We start from the raw sequence: 27,364 nt of genomic DNA, 5'->3' as shown, positions 1-27,364 counted from the left end.
ACCTTTGCACGTGTTACTCCCCACCCCCATTTCCCTCTCCACCCCAACCCGTCTCCCCAGCCCAACCACGGGGCATGTGTGTCTGCAGACCAGCCCTAACCTGGAAGCGTGCCTTTCCCACTCCATGTGCTTCTTCTCTGGGATCTCCTTTCCACTCTTCTTGTGCCCCCTGACCTCTGCCTCTGCCCACCAGCATGGCCATCCATATGTGGCCAACACTAATTCAGGTGCTCATGCCAACCAGGCATCAGCTCTCCCTGCCTGCCATAGGCATACGTGCATCCTCACTGGGGACCCTCAGGGCAAAAGTGAGTCGTCGACTCCTGGGACGTGGTATGCCCACACAGGAACACAGTTTTGCCTAACAGCAGAGGATGGCCTAGCTCAGTCACACCCATCAATATCTAGGGGCTTGAGCAGGGCAGGGAAAGGGGTGATAAGGAGTCAATAGAATGCAGGATAATAATCTGCTCACTGCTCCTCTGCATGAGTTTGTTATACATAGACATTTATTAGTGATATGATTGGAATAGAAACAATGAAACACACACACACATACACAGGCACACAAACAGAGTCCAGGATAGCTGGCACCGCTAAATACAGGCAGAGCAAGACTAGTTTTATTAACCAAATACAGATAAAGGATATTTTTATGTATGCATCCAAATACAAATGGATAATTTTATAAAAGTTGTTTGCCAGCATTAAGAATTCTAAATAAGGCCAGGAGAGCATCACCAAAGGCTGTGGGCTGGACATCCTCCAGCATTTGAGAGGCCACGTCCAAGTCAAGAAACCATGGTGCCTCTGGCTTGTGAGGCCTGTGGGCTTCCCAGTAATCCCATCCCCAGATGGCTGCCTCTACTTCCCTTGCATCTCATGCCAGGGTGGCATCTGTGATAACACAGTGGTGGGCAGCCTCTCTGCATCCACTCACCAGAACAGCATTTCGGGAGGAATGTACCTGGATTTTCTACACTCAGAGCTAAGACTGGGAAGGAAGAACACCCAAGTTGACTCTTGCCTCTTCTGCATTAAATGCTGGAGTTCTCCTTGCAAGGGAGCTCAAACCTGCTGTCAGGGACCACACTGCATACCTTTTTTTTTTTTTTTTTTGAGTCAGAGTCTCACTCTGTCGCTCAGGCTGGAGTGCAGTGGTGCGATCTTGGCTCACTGCAATCTCTGCCTCCCAGGTTCATGCCATGCTCCTGCCTCAGCCTCCCGAGTAGCTGGGACTGCAGGCACCTGGCACCACACCCGGCTAATTTTTTGTATTTTTAGTAGAGAAGGGGTTTCACCGTGTTAACCAGGATGGTCTCAATCTCCTGACCTTGTGATCCGCCCGCCTCAGCCTCCCAAAGTGCTGGGATTACAGGCAGGAGGCACCGCGCCCGGCCGCATATCATCTTTTTATACCTACTTCTCGGGGGGCCGTAATGGACAGATTAGGAATCAAAATCACTCCTCTATAGGGTGTCTATAAAAATTCCCTTTCTTTGATGAGCTCTTTGTTCATAGTGATGGTTTCAGGGCAGACATGAAGTGCCTGCTTTTCGGTGATGGCTACTGAGGGATGTCCTTCTCTGTCAACACAGATGGTCGGTGCCCTCTCTTTTTGGTGTATGTTATGCCCACTGGGGGCTCTTCCATTCTTTCCACACAGCCCCCCTGGCTTCTTCCATTAGCCAAGCCAGTGCAAGCATTAGTCTGCCCTCCTTGGAAGGCTTCTTGAGGTGGCAGTGGAGAAACAGGGGCCATCGACCAGCACTCCCTCTGTTCTCACCAGGCTTGGGGACTCCTCCCCTCACCTCCTTTCCAGGAAGCCATGTCCTGTCAGTTTTGCTGAGAAGGGGAAAAAATGCTTATGATATCAGCAAGGGGTCTGGTGATACGTCTTAGCAGGTTTCTGGCACCTGGGTGGCTCTGGGGGCCTGAGAATCAAAGGAGGGGCTTAGGCCACTCAGCTTAGTCCTGTCTCTGCTGCTGATTTTGCCCGAGGGGAAGAGGAAGTTGAAAGGAGCTGTCTTGGTCAAATGGCAGAGGCGTTAGGGATTCTCTCATCTTCTGTGAAAGGGCTGGGAGAGGCTCTGGGCTCTGAGCAGCCAGACACATCAGGCCAGGCAGATCCAAGCAGGAAAACTCAAATGTGGAGGTGTGCGGCAGGATAGAGAAATGGCATGGTCTGAATTAGGGGAGGGTGGATGGAAAAGAGGACTGCAGGGGAAGCCCCTTCAGGTGGTGCTGACAGCGGCAAACATTTTCAGAGTGCTATGTGAGGTGAATGCAGACACCTGCTGCAGATGCAATGTGGGTTCCCAAGGTCATTGCCTGAAATCCAATGTCACCACATGGCTGGCGGCTGGTGACTGCAAATTTCACCTGGCAACCATGTGCTTTGGGAGGGCTGGGCTGTCTTCCTTCAGGGCGGGGCCCAGCTCCTCAGCAGACGTCTGCTTGTCAGTTCTTCTCAGCTCCAGCCTCATCTACAACTGTTGATGGGGACGGGCATGGTGCCCAGAGCAGGTGTCTTTGAGCCCAGCAGGACGCGCCACACCTGTGTGTCCATCAGGTGCTGTGAGCCGCAGCGCAGGCAGCTGAGGGCCCCACTCTAGACACTCCAGGTGTCAGCCTGGGCAGACAGAGGGTGACAGGAGAGACCACAGCCCACCTCCTCCTCTGGTCCCCAGGTCAGTGGGGGTTCCTGCCAGCTGGGCTTAGGCTCAGACAGCTGCTTCCCTGGATGCCTGGCAGGCCCAGGAGCTGCTGGCAGGAAGGAGAGCGACAGGGAGCCAGGATCTGTGTGGGTGCAGCCGCGTCCCTCCCCATCCAGCTCTCTTCCCCCATGTCTCCTTGTTGCTTTTCTTTTCTCTCATACCTTAGTAGTTGATCAAATAGTTAACCTAAAGGAAAAACACTAAGCAGAATAGAATACTCAAATAAGCTGCTGTTCCACTCCCTCTAAATGCCCTTCGTTCTCCCTTCTTATGGAGGCGACACTGCCCCTCCTTTGATCACGCCCAGCATTGACATTGGCCCCAATCAACACCCTGCTGTCCAGCCCATTTCCAAGACATTCTCCTCTCTTGCCAACTGCCCCCATGGTGCGTGGGTATTTTCTATGTCATCACAAAAAGCTCCTTTCTACACCCCCTGTGATCTCTGCCCTCCGTCAGGCCTGGAGCATTAAGAGAAAAGTGTCACAGTTGGAAGAGAGAGGGCTTCGACGAGCAGAATTGCAGTCCTACCGCTGGCACCTGGGGGAACCTGGGCCAGCTATTTGGCCTTCCTGGTCCTCGGCTCTCTTATCTAATAAGTACCTGCATGGCGGGTCTGTTGTGAGGGTTCAACTCAAGTCAGTTCAGTTAAAGCATCTGGCTCCTGGTGGCTGTTCCATCCCTGCAGGTGCCCTTTGCTGCTCTGTCCTTCTCATTCTCTGTTGGTCTTCATGGATGTTCCCCAGAGATGCACTGCTCCAACCTGTGGTCAGCTGTATCAGCCGATGTGTCCTTCCTCTGGACCGTGGCATCTCTAATGATGTCCCCTGCATGAGAGGGGGACTTATTATTGGTTTTATTCTGTACTCGTGATTCTTCCGGGTTTCTTGGTCTTCCTGTGTGTTGCGTTCATCCCCCGCTCCCCACCCCACCCCTCACCTGCATCCTTCATCCTTTCTTCCCAATACCTTCACCCCCCCTTTCTTCTTCCAGGCTCCATGGCAGTTCCTTCTGTATCTCCCTCCTTCCCTGCCACCTCACTCCCGAGTGTGTATCCTTTTTGAGGGTGGTACGCTGCCCACTTGCTGTCATGCCTGAAGAGTTCAGTGTATGGTGATCCTTTGGAAATACTTCTTTGGTCATAGTCCATGACAGAGCTGCTAGGCCACCATCCTTAGCAGGCTCTGGATCTAGGCAAGGGATCTGTGTGGCCACCACAGCCCAGCCCAGGGCTACTCAGCTGAGCATTTTCACTTCTATTCCTTGAACATAGCCAATGTAGTTAATGATTTGCAACTTGCACTTGCTCTATATCCACATGTAGAGCCCATGTTTAGCAAGAGTTTCATTTCCAGGTAATCTTAGATATCTCTTTCTTAGCTTATTTGAAGCTCTCACCAGCTAGGTACAGTGGCTCATGCCTGTAATCCAAGCACTTTGGGAGACTGAGGCTGGAGGATCACTTAAGCCACAGGAGTTTGAGACTAGCCTGGACAACATAGCGAGAACCTGTCTCTACAAAAATAACAACAACAAAAAAATTAGCTAGGGATGGTGGCAAGTGTCTGTGGTTCCAGCTACTCAGGAGGCTGAGGTGGGAGGATCACTTAATCCCAAGAGTTTGAAGCTGCAATGAGCTATGATTGCACTACTGCACTCCAGCCTGGACAACAGAGCAAGGCACTGTCTCAAAAAAGTTTTTTTAAATAATTAAAAAAGATTAAAGCTCTCATCATCATATTCCAACAGCAGATGTCAATTATTCTTTCAACTAATATTTCCAAGGAAAATTTAAATGGCCCTTTGCTGGAATGTCTTTTCTGCAACATCAGTCATTCCTCTTCTTCCCAAATAGTTACTTTTGATTTCCCAAAAGCCCCTACTTTGAGGTAGCCAAGAGAAAGAAATACTTCTTATTTAATTCTCTCTCTCTTTTTTTTTTAATTGAGACAGAATCTTGCTCTGTTGCCCAGGCTGGAGTGCAGTCACACAATCTCGGCTCACTGCAGCCTCCGCATCCTGAGTTCAAGCAATTCCCCTGCCTCAGCCTCCTGAGTAGCTGGGGTTACAGGCACCCGCCACCACACTCAGCTAATTTTTGTATTTTTAGTAGAGATGGGGTTTCACCATGTTGGCCAGGCTGGTCTCAAACTCCTGACCTTGTGATCCGCCTGCCTCAGCCTCCCAAAGCGTTGGGATTATAGGTGGGAGCCACCATGCCTAGCCTCTCTCTTTTTTTAATGGTAGGAAAATCAAGACTCAGAAAGCACAGGGTCTATTACCCTAAAGACAGACCCTCTTGGTCCTGGAAGTGAGGAAAGAACTGAGGCTCTCACCTCTGGCTCCTGCACAATGTTTTTGGAGCTCTGAATGTACTGTGTGTGTTTCAGGAGGTAACTCACCACCATCCCCGGCTTCATGATTGGATTACAGGTTTCTTCCAATTTCTCTTAATATGGAGCTCCCTGTAACTAGACAGTCCTACTGAGACAGGTTCACGGCTTGTAACTCATCTTACTGTTTCTCTGGAGGAGTCCCCAAGCTCCCTGAAAGATAGGAAGGCACCCCAGGGACTGTGAAGGTGAAGGAGCCCCATCTCCTGTGGTTAGCGACATGAAAGCAGAGGGGGCAGGACACCCAGATTTCCTCTTCACAATGTGCTTTGCTAGCTCACTTTTTAACGTTCTCAAAGGAATTGAGTTTCAATAATTTCCTCAGGGATCTGGGTTTCTATCTAAGAGCACTTGGCAGAGGAAAGATTTACTTGCTGATGCCTGTCTTCTCTCTCTGAATCTCCTCTTGTGTGCCCTGGGTATCAGGAGCCCTGGATTTGCACTTCACTTCTCCCCTCTGCCTCATGTAAAAATGCCTTCCTTTTCTTTTCCGGTTTTCCTATTCATCAGCCACAGTTCCGGAATGATGGATCCATTGAACCACAAGTCATTCCAGAAATGAAACTGTACAACTTTTATTTTAGAGATGAGGAAACTGAGCCCCCAAAGGGGGAGGGTCTTGCTGAAGACAGAGGTGAGCATAGAATCCAGTTTTCTGACTTTCAGCCTAACCCCACTCACCATCACACTCTTGCCCCATGCATGCGCGCGCACGCACACACACACACACACACACACACACACACACGCGGGCCGTAGGAAAGACCGGGGGAGCAGGGCATGGAAACCCCTGAAGGGACACCTTCTGCAGTGTACTCAAGGGACCATTATTCACTAGTGCTTTTTATGGACTCACTGCTGAGCTCTCTCAGCTTATTGAAGGAGCAGTTAAATGAACCAGACATAGACTTCAATGAGATGAGCCCTTAAGTTTGTTTCCTAAACCTTCAAATTTGGTGAGAAGCCATTGCTATCCCAGAAATGCCCAAATCCAGCTCTCAGGAGCCCTGGTAGGAAGGGCATTCACGAGGATGGACGTCTGTCAGGGAGAGTTTGGTGCAGTCTTCCCCAGGGAGGGGGACATCTCCATTGGCATGGGACAATAACCCTGAGAGCTTACATTGTGCTTTTAGGTGCCAGGCTCCTGATATTATTAACTGAGATAAGGCATGCATTCCTGTTTTCTCCAGTTAACAGATGAAGAATATGAGGATTAAGCGATGTAGTTATTGTAATAATTTTCCTAAATTCACACACTAGAAGTATCAGCCCTAGGAGTCAAACTGGGTTTTTCCCATCCTAGAGCCCACTTAGCTCAACCACAGGATGAAACTACGAACATAGTGAGAAAAAGGAACCGTCATTCTCCACATCCCCTGAGCAAGACCACGGAATGGGTATGTTTGGTGATAAGGAAAATTCCTGATAGTTTTGGATGGTTTTGCTAATGTCCAGTCCAGGCAGAAAGGGGGCTAAATGACCCTCTGTGGGCCCTTTTAAGTCCAGTGACTTCTCAATGACTTTATGGAGAAAGGAAGAGCCTGTCGAGCTGGCTGCCACTCTCAGATGTCAACAATGCCCTGGGCTGGGCTGCATCCAGGCAGCGCAACCTCTTAATGTCTGTGAGCTGACATGAAACCACTGCCCCAGTGCAGAGAGGACAAGGAGTCTAAAGCTTTGTGCTCTGGCAGGCTAGCTCTGATCTCGCCAGCTGCCAGAGCTTTGGGGAACAAAGAAAGGCAATGCGTTTCTTTCTTGTTAGCGCATTATTTGAAAGCTGAGTTTCTATCCAAATATCCTGTCATTTGCTCCATATGACAAAGTCTAGACACCAGTATGTCATAACCAAAATGTGAATGGCTTCCTCCCACCATGTCTGCCCATTCCTCCCCATTGTTCCCTCCCCATACCCAGCCCCGCCTTTCCCACGAAGGGGTCTGCATTCTGGAGGGTGGCATCTGAGCCATCGCCCTGCCCAGGTAAACATTGCTGCTGATGAGTGAGAATGTTCTTCCCCACTAGAGCACTGGTCCTGGCCCAGGGACCACACCAGACGAGTGGCAAAGGGGATGGATTCAAGCTATTGCTCCTCCACCCTGGTGCTCTGCTGAGCAAGACAGCCTGCCAGCCACAGCCTGGGCAGCAGGAGGTGAGGGCAATTTGCCATGTGCCCCTGGCCAGGCCCAGGCCATACCTGGATGACTTCAACTTGAATTTCTTCAACCTTTATCTCTTTGTGACCCTTCAACTTCTCTATAAAGTTTTTCAAACAGGCATTACTAATTGAAATGTAAGAACAGATGGTGGCAGTATGATGGTTCCTCAAAAAATTAAACATAGAATTACTATATGATCCAGCGGTTACACTTCTGGGTAATGCCCAAAAGAATTGAAAGCAGGAGCTCAAACAGATGTACAACCATATTCATAGTAGAATTACTCGCAAAAGCCAAAAGATGGAAGCAACCCAAATGTCCATCAACAGATGAATGGATAAATAAATGTGGTCTATCCATATAATATAATGGAATAATATTCAGTCTTAAAAAGAAAGGAAATGCCGATACGTGCTACAACATGGATGAACCTTGAAGACATATGCTAAGTGAAATAAGTCAGATACAGAAGGACAAATACTGTGTGATTCCACTCATATGAGGTTCCTAGAGTTGTCAAACTCCTAGAGATAGGAAGCATAATGATGGTAGCCAGAGGCTAGGGGAAGGGAAGAATGGGGAGTTGTTGTTTAATGGATTCAGAGTTGCAGTTTGGGAAGATAAAATAGTTCTGGGGACTGGGTGCGGTGGCTCATGCCTGTAATCACAACACTTTGGGAGGCCGAGATGGGTGGATCACTTGAGGTCAGGAGTTCGAGACCAGCCTGGCCAACATGATGAAATCCCATCTCTACTAAAAACACAAAAATTAGCCAGGCATGGTGGCGCATGCCTGTAGTCCCAGCTACTTGGGAGGCTGAGGTAAGAGAATCACTTGAACATGGGAGGCAGAGGTTTCAGTGAGCCAAGATCACACCATTGCACTCCAGCCTGGGCGACAGAGTGAGACTCCGTTTCAAAAATAAATAAATAAAATAGTTTTGAAGATAGATGGTGGTAATAGTTACATAGCAGTGTGAATGTACTTAATGACACTGAACTTTACACTTAAAAATAGCTAAAATGGCAAGTTTTATGCTATGTATACTTTACTACAATAAAAGAGGTAGCATGCATGCATATTTCACAAATTACAAAATTCATATATGTACATTAGTTTTCCTGTTGTTATTATTATTTTTAATGATAGGGCCTGTGACTCAGAAAAGCTATGTGTCTTTCCCAAAGTCATGGTTTATAGTCTTTTGACTTCAAGTCAAGTGTTCTTTTAAGTGTACCAGGTTGGCATACACATAGCATGTGATACCAGGACTTTCTTCTAACCCTTATGGCAGACATCAGTTAACGGGTCACTATACTTTCTGACTAAGTGAAAATTCAACCCCATAGTCATTCTTAACACAGCACTATAGGAAGTCACTATCAGTCAGTCAGAGTTAGCGTGCAAGTTGCAGCTTACTCCCATCTCTGCACTTCTAGCATTTGCATCAGTTTCTTAGTCTGGGTGCCCCTGATTTATCACTATTTTATGTGAAGTTTTGAAGATGCATAGAAAGCGTGTGTTCCTCTTTGGAGAGCAAGGGGGCTAGTTACACCAATTCCCAACCCAGAAATGAGTGCTTATGGTCTTGTCTTATTTGAATATTGCTATCTCAAGCCACTTCTCTGAGATTGTAGCAGCTCTACCACATCAATAGGATCCCTCCCTGCAGGTGGCTCTACAGCAAACCCATTGAAGACGGAAGTATGAACTGGAGGCCTCTCCATCTTGCTCTTCCCATCTTGGCCTTACTTGATGATGTATAAAGTCCTCTAAATGGTCTTATGACTTAAGTGGGCCCAGGGGAGGGGAGAGGACCTATGATTAAGAGAACCCCTGGTGGCTGTAGTGGCCTTGGAAACCCTCTCTTATTACATGCTGCAGGTTTTCATTTGTGGATTGCCTGGGCTTAATTGGTATTCATACCTCACTTTAGATCCAGTTGAGTTATTGATGGAAGTGAAGGAAAGAAAAGGAACAATATTGATATCAATTTCTCTTCTTCTTTTCCTTTTTTAAATGTTCTTTTCTTTGAAAGATCAAAGGAGGACAAAATAGAACTTTTTTTCACGCACGCGTGCACACACACACACACAGCCACACCCCCACCATAATAGAACACAGGAGGGAAAATTCCAGCAAACAAAATTGTTTTCAGACATCTTTTTATTCTTCCTTTCAGTGGCTTTGATTTAGTCCCCTGGCTTTAATCAAAGTGTTCAAGGAGGCACAGAAATGATTCTGTTAAACAAATTTCTGGCCTCACTCCCTGTTCCTGCTCTAACCTTTCCTCCTTCTGCCCCACTCTCCACATTTTTTATTTTTCTTATATTAATGTAGGTTGGAAAAAATATTCTCTTAGCAAAAGAGAAAGTGAGGATTGGGGAGAAATCTTATTTTCTAAGCTAATAACTGGTTGTGGTGCAGCCTCTCTGCAGCTGACAGACCATTCTCAAACTTGATTGTCCCTTTCCTCCTTCCTTTACTAAATTCACCCATCACTCTGGGCACAATAAATAAAAGGCCCAATAAGCAAATCAATCAACGCATCATTTTCTGTAGCCCACGAGGTACCTACAGCACAACACGTGTTGGCTCTGTTCTCCAAGCAGTGAGTGCACACACAAGGCATCGTGGGCCTGCAGGGGCCTTTGAAGAGGCTGGTTTCTGTCACTGGGCTGGCACAGTGGACAGCCCTCATGATTGTCATCTGCCAACCTGCGACACTTCTCTCTCTCCTACCTCTTCCTAGTTTTCCCTGGAAAGTACCCCATGAGTTCACATCTGGAGCAGAGCAGCAACCCACCCCCTAGCGCTCATTACAGCTGAGTCCTTGGGGAAGTGGATGGCATGGAGGACGATCCATGTTAAGGCCAGTATCTTCAAGCAGACTGTCAGGCAGCTGGAAGTAATACAATCAATTTTACTCATCTCTTTGCTCCATTTACCATGCATTCTGCAAACATTTAGTGAGCTCCTATGCCAGGTTAAGAACAAAGCCACCACCAGGGATAAAATGTGCATTCAGCAGATGTGGCCCCCATCTCCAAGCAGAATGCACTCGGTAGACTTGAGGTGGAAGAAGAACAAGACAGGGGCTATCCAGGGTGCTGTGCAGGACTGGGCATGCTAAAGCCAGCCCAATGCAGAGGGCAGCACCCACTGTCTCTCTCTCTACAAGCACGCAGGCCTCTGTGCCATCTTCTGAGCTCCGAGGTGGACAGAGGCACTGGCCACCTGCAACAACTCTATGGGGGGTTTGGGGCCTCTTCTTCCAAATTGGTCCATTTTTATCTTTTTGTTGTTGTCGAAACATCATTCAGCTCAGATGTCACTGCAAGACCTGTCATGAGTATGCTATATGCTTGCTAAGGAAAGGATAGAACGGGACCCTTATTTTTTGGTAACCCCATAGTCCTAAAGAGAAACTGAGTATCTGATCTGTATTTTTAGTGAGCACCACCTTTGCTCTGATCCTTATAATCTCCTGTCTTCGTGCAATGGGATAGGCAAAGATGATGCCTGGGACCTGGCGGGGATGAATAATTGACAGAGCATATTCTCCTAAGCTGTCTTGGGGTTCATTAGCAAGGCCTGAGGGACAACAAGAACTCTCATGGCAGCTTCATGTGGATGAGGGACAGGCCCACCTGGAGGTCCTGACTTCTTGGTCTCTCCCACCCTCTGAGACCGTGTTTCTTAGTGACTGCCTGGCAGAAAGGTAAGCTTAGGGAGAGAAAGTGCCCATGCTTTTAAGGTACATAGCAATGGTCCCGGGAGCTGTGTAATCTGGTAGGATAAGAAAAGGGATGTTGTGTCTTTAACATCAGGTCCCTAAAGGGAATATATTTGTTAAACATTATAATTACCCTTCAGCCGCTGAACTCCATGGCAAATGAGAACTCAATAGCAATTGAGAACTATATAGCAATTGAAACCACACTGAGGCCCATTACTGTTTCTCAAATGATGCTTTCATTTAGATAAGACAGGCAATTATGCCATCTTGATTAGGTCACTGCTCCCAAGGGGATAAGGTATTTTTCAGGACTTCCCCGCTCCCTGTAAATAATGCCCTAGAACTACATCCAGTCTCTCAAATATCTTTTTTCTTTTTTCTCTCTAGATATAGATAATGAAGTAAAAACTTAGATACAAAGACACAGACATACACACGTAGACACATGCAGGCAAATCTCTATTTTTATCTCTCTTGTCTTAATACTTAGGAACATTGAGATGTGTGAGTCTTTGTGGCCAGGGTGGGAGAGATCAGAAATAATAATTTAAGACCTTAGGTATACATTTTTCTTTATTTTACAAAATATGTTTACATGTATTATTTCTTTTGATTACTGCCACAGTCAAATGAAGTGAACAGAACAGGTATTAGGAGCCTTGACAGCCAGGCACGGTAGCTCATGCCTGTAATCCCAGCACTTTGGGAGACCGTGGCAGGCAGATCACTTGAGGTCAGGAGTTAGAGACCTGCCTGGCCAACATGGTGAAACTCCGTCTCTACTAAAAATACAAAAATCCGGCATGGTGGTATGCACCTGTGGTTCCAGCTCCTTAGGAGGCTGAGGCAGGAGAACTGCTTGACTCTGAAGGTACGGGTTGCAGTGAGCTGAGATTGAGCCACTGTACTCCAGCCTGCGTGACAAAGCAAGACTCTGTCTCAGGAATAAAAAAAAAAAAAAAAAAAAAAAAGCAGCCTTGACTTTTTCCTTCTGAAATAGGAGGGGGCTGAACATAAAAAAACAAAACAAAACTCTCAGGTGCCTTCCAGGTCTAACTTTGAGTCTCTTTGTAGTACCCATTTGCAGAGGAGAAAACTGAGACAGGAAGGTCGAATGGCTTTCTCAGGGCCACCTCACTAGTCAAGCCATTGGTCTGGGTCTAGAGCCCAGGTGGTCTGATTCTGGTGCTTTTTCTTCTAAATGATTTTAAGCCCTTCAGTGGATTCTCCTTGCATCCATGATAAAATCAAGTGCCCCTTATGTAGCCTGCAAGACCCTGACCTTCCCAGTCCTTGCCTTGTCTGGCCCTGCCTGTCTTCAACCTTCAAGTCTCAATCACCCTGCTCTGTCCTGAGCAAGCCCACCCTAGCCCTGCCTATGAGATTGTGCCCAGTGATACTCGCTCATAACTGCATTCATCTTTTCTTCACAGAACTTGACATAGATGTAATTATATACTCACTTGTAGAAGTTGTTTTAAAAAGCTTGTTTTTATCCCTTTATTCCTAGCACCTACCCAAGTCACTGTCATAGAGTAGGCATCAACTTAATATTTGTTGAATGAACACATGCATTAAGGAATTAACTGTGAGTAAATAATGGCCTGGAACCTCTAAACGGCCATACCCAAAGATTCTATATGGCTAATTACTTCCAAGTAATCTAATAAAACACAGTCATATCCTCCTTCCGTTTTCTTCTCCACCAACCCTCTCCTCCAAATTACTAGGCCATTTGAGAGCTACTGCTCTCTAGCTACACTGGCAGGCAATATCTTTTCTTAAAACTTTGCTCTCCCCCAAAAGACTGTGGGTATATTGCTTCAGGCTCACTTGTTAGTAGAAAGGGCATCCCTTGTAGACAAGTGAACTTGAACCTCCACCCAACCCCGGTTTCAGATGAGAAACCTGAGTCACACATGCTTGCTACAGATGACAAACATCTGAATTGGAAGTGGGGAACAAAAAGGATTTGTATATTTCAAAATATCTGGATAATTAAATAAACGTCTCAATTCCCTTCCAAATAGTTGATGCCACATAGACGCAGTCACAGGAAGACTTCATTTTGGATTCTAAAAAGCAAGTTAGTGGTGGCAGTGGAATTTGAATCTTGTTCACAAATCCTCATCTCCATTGAGACACACTGGCTGGGAAAAAAATATATTGTTGTCCTTTCCCCTGAATGGAGTGCTCTGTGTCTAACAATCTCCTGCTTTCTGGCATGGATTTCTCTGTAATTCCTTTCGCTGACTTTGGCCTAACAAAATCCTTCACTTTAACTTGGGCTCGGCCCAGAGCTGGTATTTATTTACTAGAGTTGCCTGTGGAGTTCTAAGACCACCAGGTGTACGCACAAATCTATAAAAACACAATGCAATTTCCAAACACTGCAGTAAAATCCCCTGAAGAGTCTGCTATCTTCAGGGAGGTTAGACTGAAAAGAAGGTTTGTGTTGGCAGCAAAGAGAAGGCTGAGTGGCTTTCTACAAATTGAATGAGGACAGACCTTAATTCCTCTTAGGAAAAGTTCTGAGCCCCTCACATGCTTGAGATGGGATGTCAGAGGCTCCAGCGGATCCTATCTTCATGGCAACCAGGGGAAAGACAACACGCTGCCATGCAGGTATTTTGGCATCTTGGTCTCTTAAGATTCCAAACTGAACACGGATTCAGGACCAAACTATTGCACTACTCTATTTACAATGAACAAATGAATTGATACTCTCATTTGGCTGAGAATGTGGACAAGAGCAGTTTTCCTTGAGACATGCACTCCTGATGACGAGAAAACCGTGCAAGAAGCCCTTTGCTGAGGCGGATTAGGAAGGCAAGAAGGATGCAAAGGAAAGAGGGAGGGCATGTGAAATGCAGGGCACAGAGCTTGGCACTCAGTGTTCCACGCTCTCAGCTGAGCAGGCTGGCTCTCCAGCCTCCCCTCTGTTTACTCCATGTGCCCTGCAAAGATTATCATTTCCTGTGGCTGCCATGAAAAAGGTTGGAAAGTTCTGCTGTTTTTAGATGAAGATGGTGTCTCTAGCCACATGTACATTTTTTCCAGGCTTTTGGGTCTGGAAGAGACTCTGGCTGGTCGACATTCCTTAGCCAACACCCATCTCTCCATTTGGACACCACACCTCTCATAGGCAGAGATGTTGCCTTTAACGTTGAAGCCCTTTGGAAACAGGTGGTTTCACAACCTTCCTTAGGAATCCTTCCCCAGGCCCCTCTGTCTTCCTCATCCTCTAATTAGAATCCCTCAGGGAGTACTTTTGACTCTCTAATACATGTTCCTTCCTCAGAAAAGGAAGGCTAGCTTCCATTTCTCATATGAGAGCCACCCATGGAGAGGAATAGCTCTTACGAAGTCCTGCCTCCAACTTCTGTTTTGATTAGAATTTTGATGGGCTCTATCTGACCTTTAACAATCCCTTTTGTTTTCCCCTGGACTTCTCAGAACTTGCTTAATAGAGGGAACCAATATTGCCTGGGCTAGAATAATTATCCAACTGTGTCCTTGTTCTGGCATGGTTAGGTCCATAATACTCCTGCCGTAGCCTTACTCTGTTTTGGTGGACAACAGCGGTGGATGCAGATCTGGCCTTGGGAAATGACCAAAGCAGGTAGTGAAGAGAGGAAGAGGATGACATCCTTGCAGGGGTTTGCCCTTATGTGGCGCTGTTTTTTCAGCACAGGAGTGAGAATATGGGAATCTTCAAAACATGAACCTTCTAGTCTTGTTTTTTAACAACAGCATTGACCAAATGCAGGAAGTTCATCTTGAACATCACTGTTTATAAACGGCTCAGCAATGTTTACTGTGGTTATAATTGGTATCATTAAGCTTAGGTGACATTATTAATGCTGCTGATTAAATTGCTATAAACCCAACTTTGCCATTTACACAAACAGCTGTATCTGAGCTTCAGGCTTTCCCATTTGAGCACCTGGATAGAAAAACAGACCCACTGGAGGGCCCAGTTGGGAAAAAAATAGAACCCCAGCTTCTCACCGATCTGCCAGGTAGAGCTTCTAGGAAGATCTGGCTTAAGATGTCTTCACCTTGTATGAGTAAAGTGGTTTCCCTTTCTAAAGCAGTTCTTCGAAACTGGATATCCCAAGTCCATTAATGCACGTTCAAAAGGAGCATTAAATATCTCCCCTCTTGCTCTCCTATCCTAAACCCCCTCCTCGCTCTTCCCCTTAAACCTGCATCAGCTGCCCACTGATATGTTGGGGTCATTTCTCAGCCTTGTCCTACTATAGAAATCTACCCTCTATCATTTAACAAAATGGTACCTTCCTACCTCCTCGTACACTTTACAAAATGAATACTCCCTCCTTCTGGAAACACTTTTCTCTGTTGGCATCATATGATCTCCATTTTTCTCCTTCTCTCTCCCTCCCCAAAGCCTCTTGATTTTTCCCCCTTCCCCCTTGCCCTCTACCCCTCCTCCCTCTCTTCCTAGGCATAGGCAGAGGGATTTATATGCCTATTTGTAATTGCTTGTCTCATCCCACACTAGGATACAAACTACATGAGAAAAGGGATTTTCTCCTATTTGTGGCTGCATCTCTCATTCCTAGGGCAGTGCCAGGCACATGGTTAGTACCAGGGAAATATTAATCGGCTGAATGGGAGAGTCTGCCGAGCACCCAACAGTCTCATTTGTCCAGACTTGTGATGAAAGTGGGGTGCACTTTTTGCTCACAGCCAGTGGGGCTCACCCCTTTCAGCTAATGAAATCTGACGTCAGCTGTCCTGGGGGATTTATCAGTTAGGATGTTTCACTTGCAACTAACAGAGACTGACTCAGGTTATTTTAAATCAAAAAGGGAATTTATGAAGAAGGATATCAAGCCCTCCCAGAATTGATGGCTAGCTGGAGGAACAGACTTGGACGAAGTTCAGGAATTGGGACACGGGAAGCTGGAAGGGTGATAGCCATCTCTTAGCAGGAAGCGTCATCCCTGCGGTAACTCACCACTGACATCCTGAAAAGTGTCTAAGCAGCCTTCCTTACCAGTGCATTACCTGCTGGAGATCCAAAGGCTTGGGAGCAAGGCTTCATGAACCAGCCCAGGGCCCTGACCACTAGAGGCAGGAAGAGGGGGCATCTGGCTCTTTGAACTTCCAAAGTGGGGGCTCTTGGTCCTGCCTGAAACCAAGACCTCCCATCGTGGAGAGTTTCACCTAAGGAAGGAGTACTTGGATCCTGAACACCCCTAAAATAAGACCAGTAGAAGAAAGCAGGCATTTGTGTCATCTTTTACGAATTGTGTTCCACAACCACTAGACTCATTTATGCTCATGCTGAAAAGGGGCTCAGGCACCTTCTCCACATTTTCCTGTGGCTGTCAGCAAGTTGCCTCCCAAAGGGCCCTTGTGAAACTTCCTACCACTTCTCTATTTCTCTGCCTTTGCCACATCTGTACGTGCTGGTTGCTAAGTGGAGGGAGGAGCTAGAGCATCTTCCTTTTTGAAGAAAAAGAATCCCTCTCCAAGAGCTTTCACTGTCCTGATTAATTAGAGCCATCTGCAGAGCAGGGGTACATTAGGACACACACATGTGGACAAAAAAGCACATCCAAGAGCCATTCACCAAGAAGCCTGCCCCTACTCCAGTGACCTACCTGCGTTAGAGCTAAATAGCGCTGATGATAATGATGATGCATTATGATCAAAAGTTATTTTTATGAAAGGCTCCTGCCTACCACCCTCTGCCATCAGAATAGTCTATTCCCTGATGGGGAAAGAAGAACTGTAGTAGAATAGGAGCAGAAGTGGGAATGTAAAACACTTCAACTCCAGAAAACTGAGCCCTAAAAAGATTTTAGACCCCAGTGGGTTTCAAATAAAAACTCCTCCTGGCTAAATTGTGAGTACCGTGAGTTCACAGGGATACATGTTTGTGGATTTGCGCTCATTCCTGATTTAAACCCCTTAATATGCACAGGCTCAGTGTGCAGTGCACTCACACACACACACACACACGCACACACTGTTGGTGCCCCAGGCTTACAGGCATACACATTTCTGGCTGTAATGATTCAGATGCCATTAATCCAAACCCGCCAGGACAGTTGCTCCTTTGATGTCCCCTTGGGGGAACATTCCAGGAGGTCCCACTCTTACTGATGTGGAACTCTCTGGGGGTCAGTGAGCAATGAGGACATGTGTTGGGGGTTGGACGGGAGAAGAAAACCCTGGGCTCAGGCTCCATGAGGAAAACAGATCTGACTTGAAAAGAATTCAGACTTTCAGGGGTTGCAAAGCTTTCAAGAAGCACAACAGACTTCATTATTGCCAGGCTATGAGGACCTTCCTTGCAGAAAACAGGACAACTGACACCTCATTGCAGGGCTGAGCAAGATACTGCTTGCCCCCCACCTCAAGTTCTCCCCATAATAAATGGAGGAAATTCATCCTTTCTCTGCCTCTCAACCATAGAACCAAGTCATTCATAGACTTATTGGGTCAAATAAGAACAGCAGAGGAAGCTAATGCAGGGATGAAATAAATCATGCTTGTGTTTTTTTGTTTTGTTTTGTAATAAGGTTTTCCTCGAGCTTCAGGAAAGTCAACATCCCAAATAAACAGAACTTGCCAAACAGATATTTCAAGGTGAGATAATATGTATTAGGAGGAGAAACTTCCTAGTGAATATAGGAAGAAATGCAGTTTGTAAATTTCAGCTTTCCAAGCAACTTTTCCAACATATATATATATATATGTTGCATAGAACCGAGTACACAAACCTGTGATTAAGTAATAATGGTAAGATTATAGCAATTGGCATTGCACTGATGCTAAGTTTATACCATAACAATTAGTCCTCAGATGTGATTTAATAAAGGAATAAGCACATATTTAAGAATGGATCTAAGAACAACTTAGAAAGTAATCACAAAAAGTGTTCTGGGATGGAGCCATAAAAACTGGGCCAATAAATCTCAGCCAGCCAACCAGACATTCTGTTATTTGATAAAACTAATAATGCAAAACTTATTGCAATAGCAGAAACGTCATAAAAATGTAGTAAAAATAAACAAGCACATGGCTCTGGCAGAAGAGCTAAAAACAAGCGTGGAAATTGAAGACATCAAAGTATAGCCAAGAAACATCTTGGCAAGTGGGAGCAGGCGACGTTCACATATATTAGTGGAAAATGTTAAGGAATTTGGGATTTTTTTTTCATGTTTGAGCAATATTTTGGGAAGTGATATTTCATACATACTTGTCTCTGTACCAAGATATTTCCCCTCCCAAGATTATTTTGCAACGTACTTGACTGGTGAGGTCTGTTACTTTTATGATGCCTTTTGGTAGAAAGATCTGAAATTTGTACAGCAAAGGGGAGAAGGCACTAAACGTTATTAAGCCTCCTACTCACCACTTTAGCTGTATTATCTCAATTAATTCTCAAAGCAATCCCGAGTGGAAGGAAAGCGTGTTCCTATTTTACGTAGGAGGATGCTGCAGCTTTGAGAAGTTGGTCACAAGTGTCTGGAAACTGCCACCAGCCCGGAGAGTGTTCGCTTCCCCATAGTGTGTGAACTTTTTCCCATATCCCTCCTGTATTCAGGTTCTACCACGTGCCCCTGAGGGTCTTTCAAGGATTGACCAGGCAGGGGATGGGAGGAGATTCAAAGGTCAAGGTAAACTCTGCTTCCAACCCCAAGTCCCCCTTTTCATCACTGTCCCATGAAAAACTCCTGCACCTCCCACTGCCAATCTCGCCCACGGCAGCTTGGAAGCAGGAGGGGGAGGCTGGCCTCCCTCCCTGGGGCTCTACTCACAGTCTGAAGTCTGCTGCCCAGCCTCGGCAGGCACGCACAGCTCTGCACCTCCTACAGCCACCGAGTACCGGAAGCTGGCCAGTCAGGGATGGGCACACGTAGGCGAGAGGGGGGCCTGCTTCGGCCTCTGGGCACTTATCAGAGGAGGAGGAGGAGGAAAAAAGCTGTGTTTTGGATCTGAAAGGGTTACAGGGTCTGCCCAGCCCCTGGGATGGCAGCCAGCAGGGGAAGTGGGGAAGCTGTGAGGAGAATAGCAAGTTTCTCCTTGCAGGGACCCTATTCCAGCTGAATGCAGCCTCCTCGCCCTTAAATCCAATTAAAGGCCGATATTATGTCAGTGGAAATGTATGCCAATCCTAATATAGTCTAATAAGCCTTAAAATAGCACTCTGTAAGTGGAAAGCCCTGTGGTTTAATTTGATTCGCAGCCTAATAACAGGCTTAATAAGAGGGAATTGGCCCCCTTTTATTTTCCAACTGGTCTCTGCATGCTCTTTTCTTCTTTTCTTTCTTTGTCTCCTTTATCTCTTTCTCTGGAACTCTGTGGAATGACCAAGAGAGGCAGGAGTGAGCAGGAGGTGGGCGCATCTTCCCCCACATTGCTTCCAGCTCAGAGGCCTGGTACCTGCTACCTAAGTGTGGTTCTGGGATGTGGCAGGGACTCTAGGTCCTTGGCTGGGTCCTACATGTGACTTGACTCATGGTGCACATGGACAAGGTGCTTCCTGTTGGCTTTGTTGCCTTCCATTGTAATGGAGAAGGTGGATGGGAAGTACCTCAAAGCAGGTATCTTGGGCATGCACCTTTGGATGAGAAAGGACTCATCGCTTTCTTCCTGGGCCTTGGGTCTCCCCTCCCAGGAAGCTGGAGCCAACGGCCATTCTCACACACCCTCTGCTAGAGATGACGGGGTGGCCAGCCATGGGCAAGTCTTATCAACACAATCTGGAAACTGAATCCGCTTTATGGAACTTTGAATCAATTCTTTATAAGGACAAAGGATTCTCAAACATTTAAAAAGCAGAGTTTTTGAATTTAAAGTACTCTTAAAAAACAGCTTTAATGAGATATATTCACATTTGGTATAATTCACCTATTTAAAGAGTACAAGTCAATGGCTTTTGCAATTCAGTAGCTTTTACTATAATTACAGAGTTGCACAACCATCACCACAATCAATTTTAGAACATTCTTATTGCTGCAAAAAGACAGCTCAAATCCCTTAGCCATCACCCTCTCCAGCTCCACATGGCCCCCAGCCCTAGGTAGCCACTAATCTATCTTTCTCTGTACATTTGTCTATTCTGGACATTGTGTATAAAAGGAATCTTATATGTAGCCTTTTGTGTCTGGCTTCTTTCTTACTCAGCATAATGCTTTCAAGGTTTAGCCACATTGTAGCATGGATCAGTACTTCATTCCTTTTCCTTGCCACTAATATTCCATTGTATGGATATACCACATTTTATTCACCCATTCTTTATCTGATGGACTTTTGCATTGTTTCCTTTTTTGGCTATTCTGAATAATGCTGCTATGAACATTTGTGTATACATTTTTGTCTGGATATATGTTTTCATTTGTCTTGCATATATTTCAAGGAGTGGAATTTTGGGATCATATAGTAAATCTATTTCACCACTTGAGAAGGTGCCAGGCTGTTTTCCAAAGCAGCCACCTCACTTCCATTCCCACCAGCAATGTGTGAGGGTTCCAATTGCTGCACACCCTCACCAACACTTGTCATTTTCTATCCTTTACTCTAGCCATCCCAGCGGGTGGGAAATGGCATCTCCTGCTCATTGACGCTATGATTTGCATTTCTCTGAATGGAGTTAATGTATTCTTTTATTTTTTTATTTTTTATTTTTATTTTTTGAGACAGACTCCCAGTCTGTTGCCCAGGCTGGAGTGCAGTGGCACAATCTTGGCTCAATGCAGTCTCCACCTCTGGTTCAAGCAATTCTCATGCCTCAGCCTCCCAAGTAGCTGGGACTACAGGTGCGCACCACCATGCTCAGCTAACTTTTGTATTTTTTAGTAGAGATGAGGGTTTCACCATGTTGGCCAGGCTGGTCTCAAACTCCTGACCTCAAGTGATCTGCCTGCCTCAGCATCCCAAAGTGCTGGGATTACAGGTGTGAGCCACCGCACCTGGCCCTGAGTTAATGTATTCTTGATCTGAACTGGTCTGCAAGTTAATAAACAATTAACTTGTGAACAGAATTTAAACCTCAGCTGTGGTGATGATTAACCAGATCATCTTGAACCCCTTACTTATCTGAATCTTAACTTCTGGATTTGTGAACAGGAGGTTGGGATTTTGAAGATTCACTCAGAGAATGTGGGGAACAGCTTACAAAGGGGAGGGCTGCAGCACACATTCATTTCCTTCCCTTCACCTGGTCCTAATGTGTATGCCTCCATTTTTGGGATGGTACAATGGGAATGATATTTACTCCTGAGCCATCAATTTTGCAACAAGGTCAGAAGAAAAAATATACTTAAAAAAAAGGACGGTGATGATGGGTTGAGTTGGGACAAAGGAAAAGGGCATTTGATGGCAAGATACAGAAATTGGAGTTTTATTTTTTTTTATTAATAAGAAGCAGCAAGGGGTGAAAAGCAACAGGATACCCATCCTCAATATAAGAGGGGTTATCATGGGGAGGAGAGTGACCAGCTGTTCCTGATCTCCACGAAGGACATCAGAAGGGGAAATGCATTTAAACTGTGGGAAGCAGCCTGTAGCTTCATTATTAGGATGAGCTCCTTTACTGTCAGGGTCGTGAAACATTGGAATGGGAATTTATCAAGTTTCCTGTCCCTGAGGGCCTTTCCAAATATGATCAATTACATCTAGGAGTGGGAATGAGATGCCCTGAGGCAGCTCTGTCCAGCACAAAAATGCTGCAATTCCTGGCAGTGGCCCCCCTTGGTAGCCCTCCCTGTGTTGGCTCCCTGCACACACCAGGCAGGGTTGCAGCCACTCCTCCGACCCCACCAGCCCCCTACCCCCACACCCTGTTTTGGCTGGACCCAGTTGCTCCCTCTTCTTTCCCTCAATGCTGTGGGGGAGATGCTGCTCTTCTCTATTTCAGTAGGGAGTGACGTGGCTTCTATACATAGCACGGCTTATAACTTCTTTGGCAGCTCCTGGGTTGAAAGGTGCTGTTAAAAGAAAGGGAGGGGAAAAAAGAGCTCAATAACCCTTTTATTTATTTAAAAAAAATCTTTCAAGAAAAGCTCAAACATGTGGTCCTTTACTTCAATTGCTCACTGAGACCATTATGGTCCTTGACCCATCTTTCGGCGTTGGATGGCTACCAGTGTCTTACAGAGGAGCAAACAGAAGTACACATGGTGGGGAGGCGTATAAAGGGGAACACGGAGGGGCGCCTCAGACTTGGGACGCTGCCCCCATTAGGAGTTCTGCCTCTGTCCATTCAGTGTGCAGTGGGGATGGTGGTAGTTTCCTCAAAAAAAATTTTTTCCACCTTTCTCCCATAGCATAGTAACAGGAAGCATAATAAGAATTGCCTCTACCCCTAGGACCTGAGGTGGGCTCCCATTGGCCTGAGCTAACCAGAGTGATTCTCTGCACTCCAGGGTTTAGCCCAAATACTTCTAAACCAATTAGTGTCCAGATGTCCCCTGGCCCCAGGGACTGGGGTTGCCCCCACCCTAATTTCGGGCTATGCTTACTTTGCTTCCTATTGATTACCAGGAACCTAAATATTGATCCCTACAGCCCTGGGAGATGCTAGGAGGGATGTGGGGCAGCCAGAGCCTCAGGGCCATGTGCTTGCAGCTGGGAACAACCTCTCCATTGACCTCAGCCTGTTGTACAAATACGGTGATCTTTCTGTGTCATGATGTGGAAAGGTTAGGAAACACTGGGTCTGAAGAGAACAGGTTTGGAGTGAGGACGGACTAACCTTCCTTCATGCATTCACTCACAAACTGTTGGATTTGTCGGTTGTGTCCTTGGGCTGGACTTCCCTCAAGCATACAGGAGAAATGCTAGTGACATCTTAGGTCTTAGGTCTGTGGGTTCCTCTTTCTAAGGCAAACCCTAGGAGGTAGGTATTGTTATGATCTCTGTATAGAAGATTGGAAAAGATTGTTATGATCTCTGTATAGAAGATTAGGAGGCAAAGAAGTTAAGGGATTTGGGCAAGGTTATTCAGTGAGTGAGCAGAAGGGCCAGAGGTTTAACCCAGGCAGTTCAGCTTCATTCATTACCCTAATCTTTCCAATTGAGTAATGGGCGGGTAGGGAGAAGGAAGGCCAGGTTGATATCTGACACCTCCTGCCCCATTTATCACTTCTCCAGCACCAGCCTAAGGAGCAACTGGGAGGCAAATGGAATGTTTTCCTCCTTTCCTTTCATCCTTTCTCCCACAGCTGTCCCAGGAGAGCCATCCCTGGAAAGGTGCTCAAACCATAGTGCCCATGCCTCTCTGCAGGGAAAATCTGGTTACAATGAACACGCTGGTAGCATGAAAGTGCCCGAAAGAGCAACTGCTGCAGGAAACACTGTATAAAAGGGGAGAAGGAGAAAGTGAAGCCAGTGGAAGATATAAAGATAGCCCTGGACTGAGTTAGAAAGCATAGGCGTAGATCTGGGCTCTACCACTATCTCCGTGATCATGGGCACCTGCCTTCCCTCCCCAGACCTCCAAGGTGGCTTGCAGACTCTTCTCGGAGCACACAACTGCTTGTCCCCCTCTGTGACCTACTCAACACTAGACCCTCAGACTGCCTCTCCTTTTGTGACCCAGCTGCCATTTCCTACCAAACGATTTTGGACGGCTTTTTGGGCAGCCAATACTATTCTCCAATACCTCTTCATTGAGCTGGCGTTGATTTGGTCAGTTTCTTGGTTGGTTCCCGATCCTTTTGTTCCCTTTTACCCATCCCACATCAGCTGCAACACATGCCGGCTTTTGAACAGGCTCGCCCTTGTGGGAATCCAAACTTCCTACAGATGCACCCTCCTTTCGTGTCTTGCTTAGTTTTCAGGTGATGAAAGTGGCCTTGGCCTGGGTGGTTGTCATGGAGACGCATTGCTGCTTCCCGCCTCATATGGGCCCTTGAGCTCTTCCCAGCAACCTTTCTGGGCTAGAAAAGGAAGAAAGGTCTGGCTTTGCCCTCTGTGTCTCCTTTTTTGGGGGGAAGGGATTCAGCTGAGAGTGCTTTGATGCTATTTAATCCAAGTTATTCCACTGGGGAGAGGGAAATGGGCTAGCAAAAATCCAGGCAGTTTTTCTATTTGCCTTATTGTATTAGCTAATTATCTCAAGTGGCAATCAGAGAAAGAAGAAAAAAAATGGAATCAGAGGAACATCCATGTTATTTATATTTTATCATCTTTGCCAAGCTTAGCAAAGGGATGCAGTTTTCTTTATTTCTCTGACCCTTCATTTAATGTCATCCTCTCACTACTGATCAAATCTCACTGCCTATTGATATCAACATCAAAAATACCTCACCTTTTCATTCAAGGCTCTGAATAGACAGCTCATCAATAATATCTACCTGAACTTCTGCAAATATACTTTCTCTAGGAGCCTGGACTCATCCAAATGTCTAGTAAAGTGTGTGTGTATGTGTAAATTCTCCAGAACTCATCTCTAAGTATCTCAAAAGAGTTTACATTGTACCTTACATAATTCTAACCATTTTCACTAGGAGAAGACCTCCTCCTGCTACAGTGGGCAGATGGGGAAAACTGAAGTATAAAGTATAAATGAAGGATGGTGTGTTCTTTTGTGGAATCCAACAAATTAAACAGGTTTAAATCTAGTAGGGAAAACAATGTAGGTTTCCTGCTGCTCTGTGGCCTTTCCAGCATGTTTGGAAGGCAGGGCTAGCACAAAAATTCTGCCATAGCATTTGCTTTATAGAGAGAAGAGTGTAATTAGCAGTGGATAAGGAACCTGCTAAACCTGGGTTTTATTTTTGCTTCCTCCATTACTGACTTGAGTAGGTCACTTAATATTTTTGAACTTTGTTTTTATTTTGTTTTGTTAAAACACTGAGTTAAAACATCTAACTGCCTTCCTGATAGTGGACCAAAGATGTGAAGAGCCTTTGTACTCGTAAGGCATGCTAAGTTTCATTAAAGCTATGACATATCTCATTTAGTCCTTGCAACCATCCCATGAAGTTAGCATTATTTTATGAGGCTCGGAGACATCAAACAAGTGCCCAAAGTCACACAGATAGCAAGCAGTGGTATCTGGACCAGGGTATACTTGTCTTTAGCCCACAGCTGTCTGCGGGAACAAGGTTAAGTCAGTGCTGAGAAAGACCCAGAGAGAAGGTCATTTGAAGTTCATCCCAACAAACAGCCTGCTGTACCAGCTCTGGGATGATATGCTGCTCTGGTGACCAGGGCTGATAGGAGCCTTGTAGCTCACGCAGCAGATGGGGAAAGAGGAGAACAGGATAGAGTGGGAGAGGAGAAACAGTAGAGGAGAAGGGGGAGTCATGTGAACGGCTGTGCTGGCCTGGGAGAGGGGTGGGTAATGTGCCATGCTGCGGTCCTTTGAGCCAAGAGAAAATGTGTGTCTTTATCTTTGTCTGTACAATTTATGGTCCAGCTGGGCTCTTTCGTGAGGCTGGGACTGTTCTGCCAGTGCCAGAAGAGTTACTCTTGGGGTGAGACACTGGAGCCCCTGGGGCCCTGCCAGGAGCATAATGTAGTCTGGTTATTGGAGGGGAGTTCCCAACTAGTGTTGGCTGGCACAGCCCAGAAGATTTAGGGAGCACAACTCTATAGAGTTCCCAGAGCAACCGAATGACCTGACCTCATGTGTGTTAGAACCATGGATTATAACATTTCCTTTCCCAGTAGTTGGGATGACAATAACATAGCAAGCTAGGTAGTTGTTGTAATTGTGGATGAGATGTAACATGTTTTTCTGCAGGAGAGATCAATGTGCTGGGTACATTTGAGCTTTCTTGACATTAGGAAATAGGCAAGAATGAAGTGTTAATGCTTAATGCACATATGGTATGTACAGATTATTATAGTTCACCATTGTTCAGATGATTTCTTGGAGTTAATAACTTACTGAGATTAATGACGATCTTTGGAGTGTCGATTTAACAGAAAAGTTTGCCAACCAACTTTGTGCAGTTGTGTGTGCTTTGGCGGTTCTAATGTTTGCCAAAGTAACCAGCCGTAATGTGTTAAGAGTCTAGAATTTTTGCCTGTATTTTATTATTTAACACTCTGCTTATCAATGGATTTCCTACTTTCACACCTACATCCATCCCCCAAAGAACTAAAGATCTATGATCTAAAATGTATGTATGCATTCATTCATTTCACCGACATCTACCAATGCTGGCACCTAGGCTGTTGGGGAAAATATGTATTATTTACCACTTTCTGGTGAGAAAACTGAGCTAAGATGCTCTCAAGGGCACTGCTAGTCCACAGCAACCCTCATTCCTCTTACTGGGGTGGGGAAAGGTCCTTCCTGCTATGATATGTGTTGCTTTGGGTTTAGACACAGGATGCCTGCAAGCCTTGCAGATGTTATTATTCCCTAGTTCCACTGAGAGGCAAGACCTTCTCAACTGATCTCTTGCTTGACACTTAATTAAATTGTAGTACAGAAGTGACATGACAACACTTCGAGGACAAAGGTAGAAATAGAAGATGTTTTGATTAACAGCTATTGGAAATCTGCATCAAACCCTGCATGTAGATAATGGAACAACTTAAAGAAGAGAAGAGGAAGGAGGAAGCTAAACCTCCAGGAGGTTTAAAGGAGGACTGCCAGAGGGAAAGGGGAGGGATGTGGATGCTGGCCCTCATTGGACAGGGGCTGGTAGTGACTATTTCTGGGTGCAGGAAGTAGGCAAGGCACATGCAGTTGCTCCACGAGACCCCACACCTGCTCTGCAGGGGTAAAGACCCTAAGGTAGCCCTCCATTGCACTGGTCCCTCCCTTGCCTCTGGGGAGCTCAAAGTTTTTCTGTTTTTTTGTCTTGTGAAAAAAGAAAATCCAAATTTCAGTAGTCCTTAATCATATCGTAGCACATGTAGAAAATGATAATATCTGTGGGGCACATTGAGGTTGCACACAGTGGCAGGCGACTGCCACCCCAAGGGCTAAGGGAAAGAAAAAAAAAATCCATGTCTTGACATAGGGCTGTCATGGCACCCCTTCTGTGCTGTGGACAGTCAAGGTGAGCTCATTAATGAAAGGACTGGTGCTTTCCAGAAGGCATTTAACCTGTTCTACATGCAGGAAACAACTGCACTGGTGTCATCCTGATAAGACACAGTAATTCAAGTTGGCCATTGGGTACTAGGGGCATTATGGGCAGGCGTGGTGAGTGTGGGGTGGCAATGATGTGTCTAAACTAAGTGTTTGCTCTAAACTAAGTGTTTGCTCTCAGAGAGGTAGTACCTGCTTGTGCACTTAATTATTTACTTATTTTTTTTGAGACAGCCTCACTCTGTCACCTAGGCTGGAGTGAAGTAACATGATCTCAGCTCACTGAAACCTCCACCTTCCGGGTTCAAGCAATTCTCAT

At 45.9% G+C, this 27,364-nt stretch overlaps 1 protein-coding gene and 1 long non-coding RNA gene across 9 annotated transcripts in view, besides 2 other annotated features; one reads left to right on the top strand and one right to left on the bottom strand.

Moving 5' to 3' along the window:
• PLXNA4 (plexin A4) overlaps positions 1-27,364 on the top strand; it is a 525,349-nt gene that overhangs the window by 277,502 nt on the left and 220,483 nt on the right. The gene's annotated exons all lie outside the window — the stretch shown is intronic.
• On the bottom strand, positions 492-18,853 carry PLXNA4-AS1 (PLXNA4 antisense RNA 1). The gene is made up of 2 exons (NR_199030.1): positions 18,806-18,853; positions 492-3,544 (listed from the first exon to the last, which is right to left on the bottom strand). It is a non-coding gene; the product is annotated as a PLXNA4 antisense RNA 1 (long non-coding RNA).
• Positions 18,294-18,828: an enhancer, noted in NCBI's record as "H3K27ac-H3K4me1 hESC enhancer chr7:132037118-132037652 (GRCh37/hg19 assembly coordinates)". NCBI's record gives its function as "activates a minimal SCP1, AML or CMV promoter by ChIP-STARR-seq in naive H9 embryonic stem cells {active_cell/tissue: H9 hESC(naive)}" and the evidence as "EXISTENCE:reporter gene assay evidence [ECO:0000049][PMID:30033119]".
• Positions 18,829-19,364: an enhancer, noted in NCBI's record as "H3K27ac-H3K4me1 hESC enhancer chr7:132036582-132037117 (GRCh37/hg19 assembly coordinates)". NCBI's record gives its function as "activates a minimal SCP1, AML or CMV promoter by ChIP-STARR-seq in naive H9 embryonic stem cells {active_cell/tissue: H9 hESC(naive)}" and the evidence as "EXISTENCE:reporter gene assay evidence [ECO:0000049][PMID:30033119]".

This window comes from Homo sapiens, chromosome 7, assembly GCF_000001405.40.
Source record: "Homo sapiens chromosome 7, GRCh38.p14 Primary Assembly".
Lineage (NCBI taxonomy): Eukaryota > Metazoa > Chordata > Mammalia > Primates > Hominidae > Homo > Homo sapiens.
Note: the sequence above shows the minus strand (reverse complement) of the source record. Positions and strands in the feature narration are given on the sequence as shown.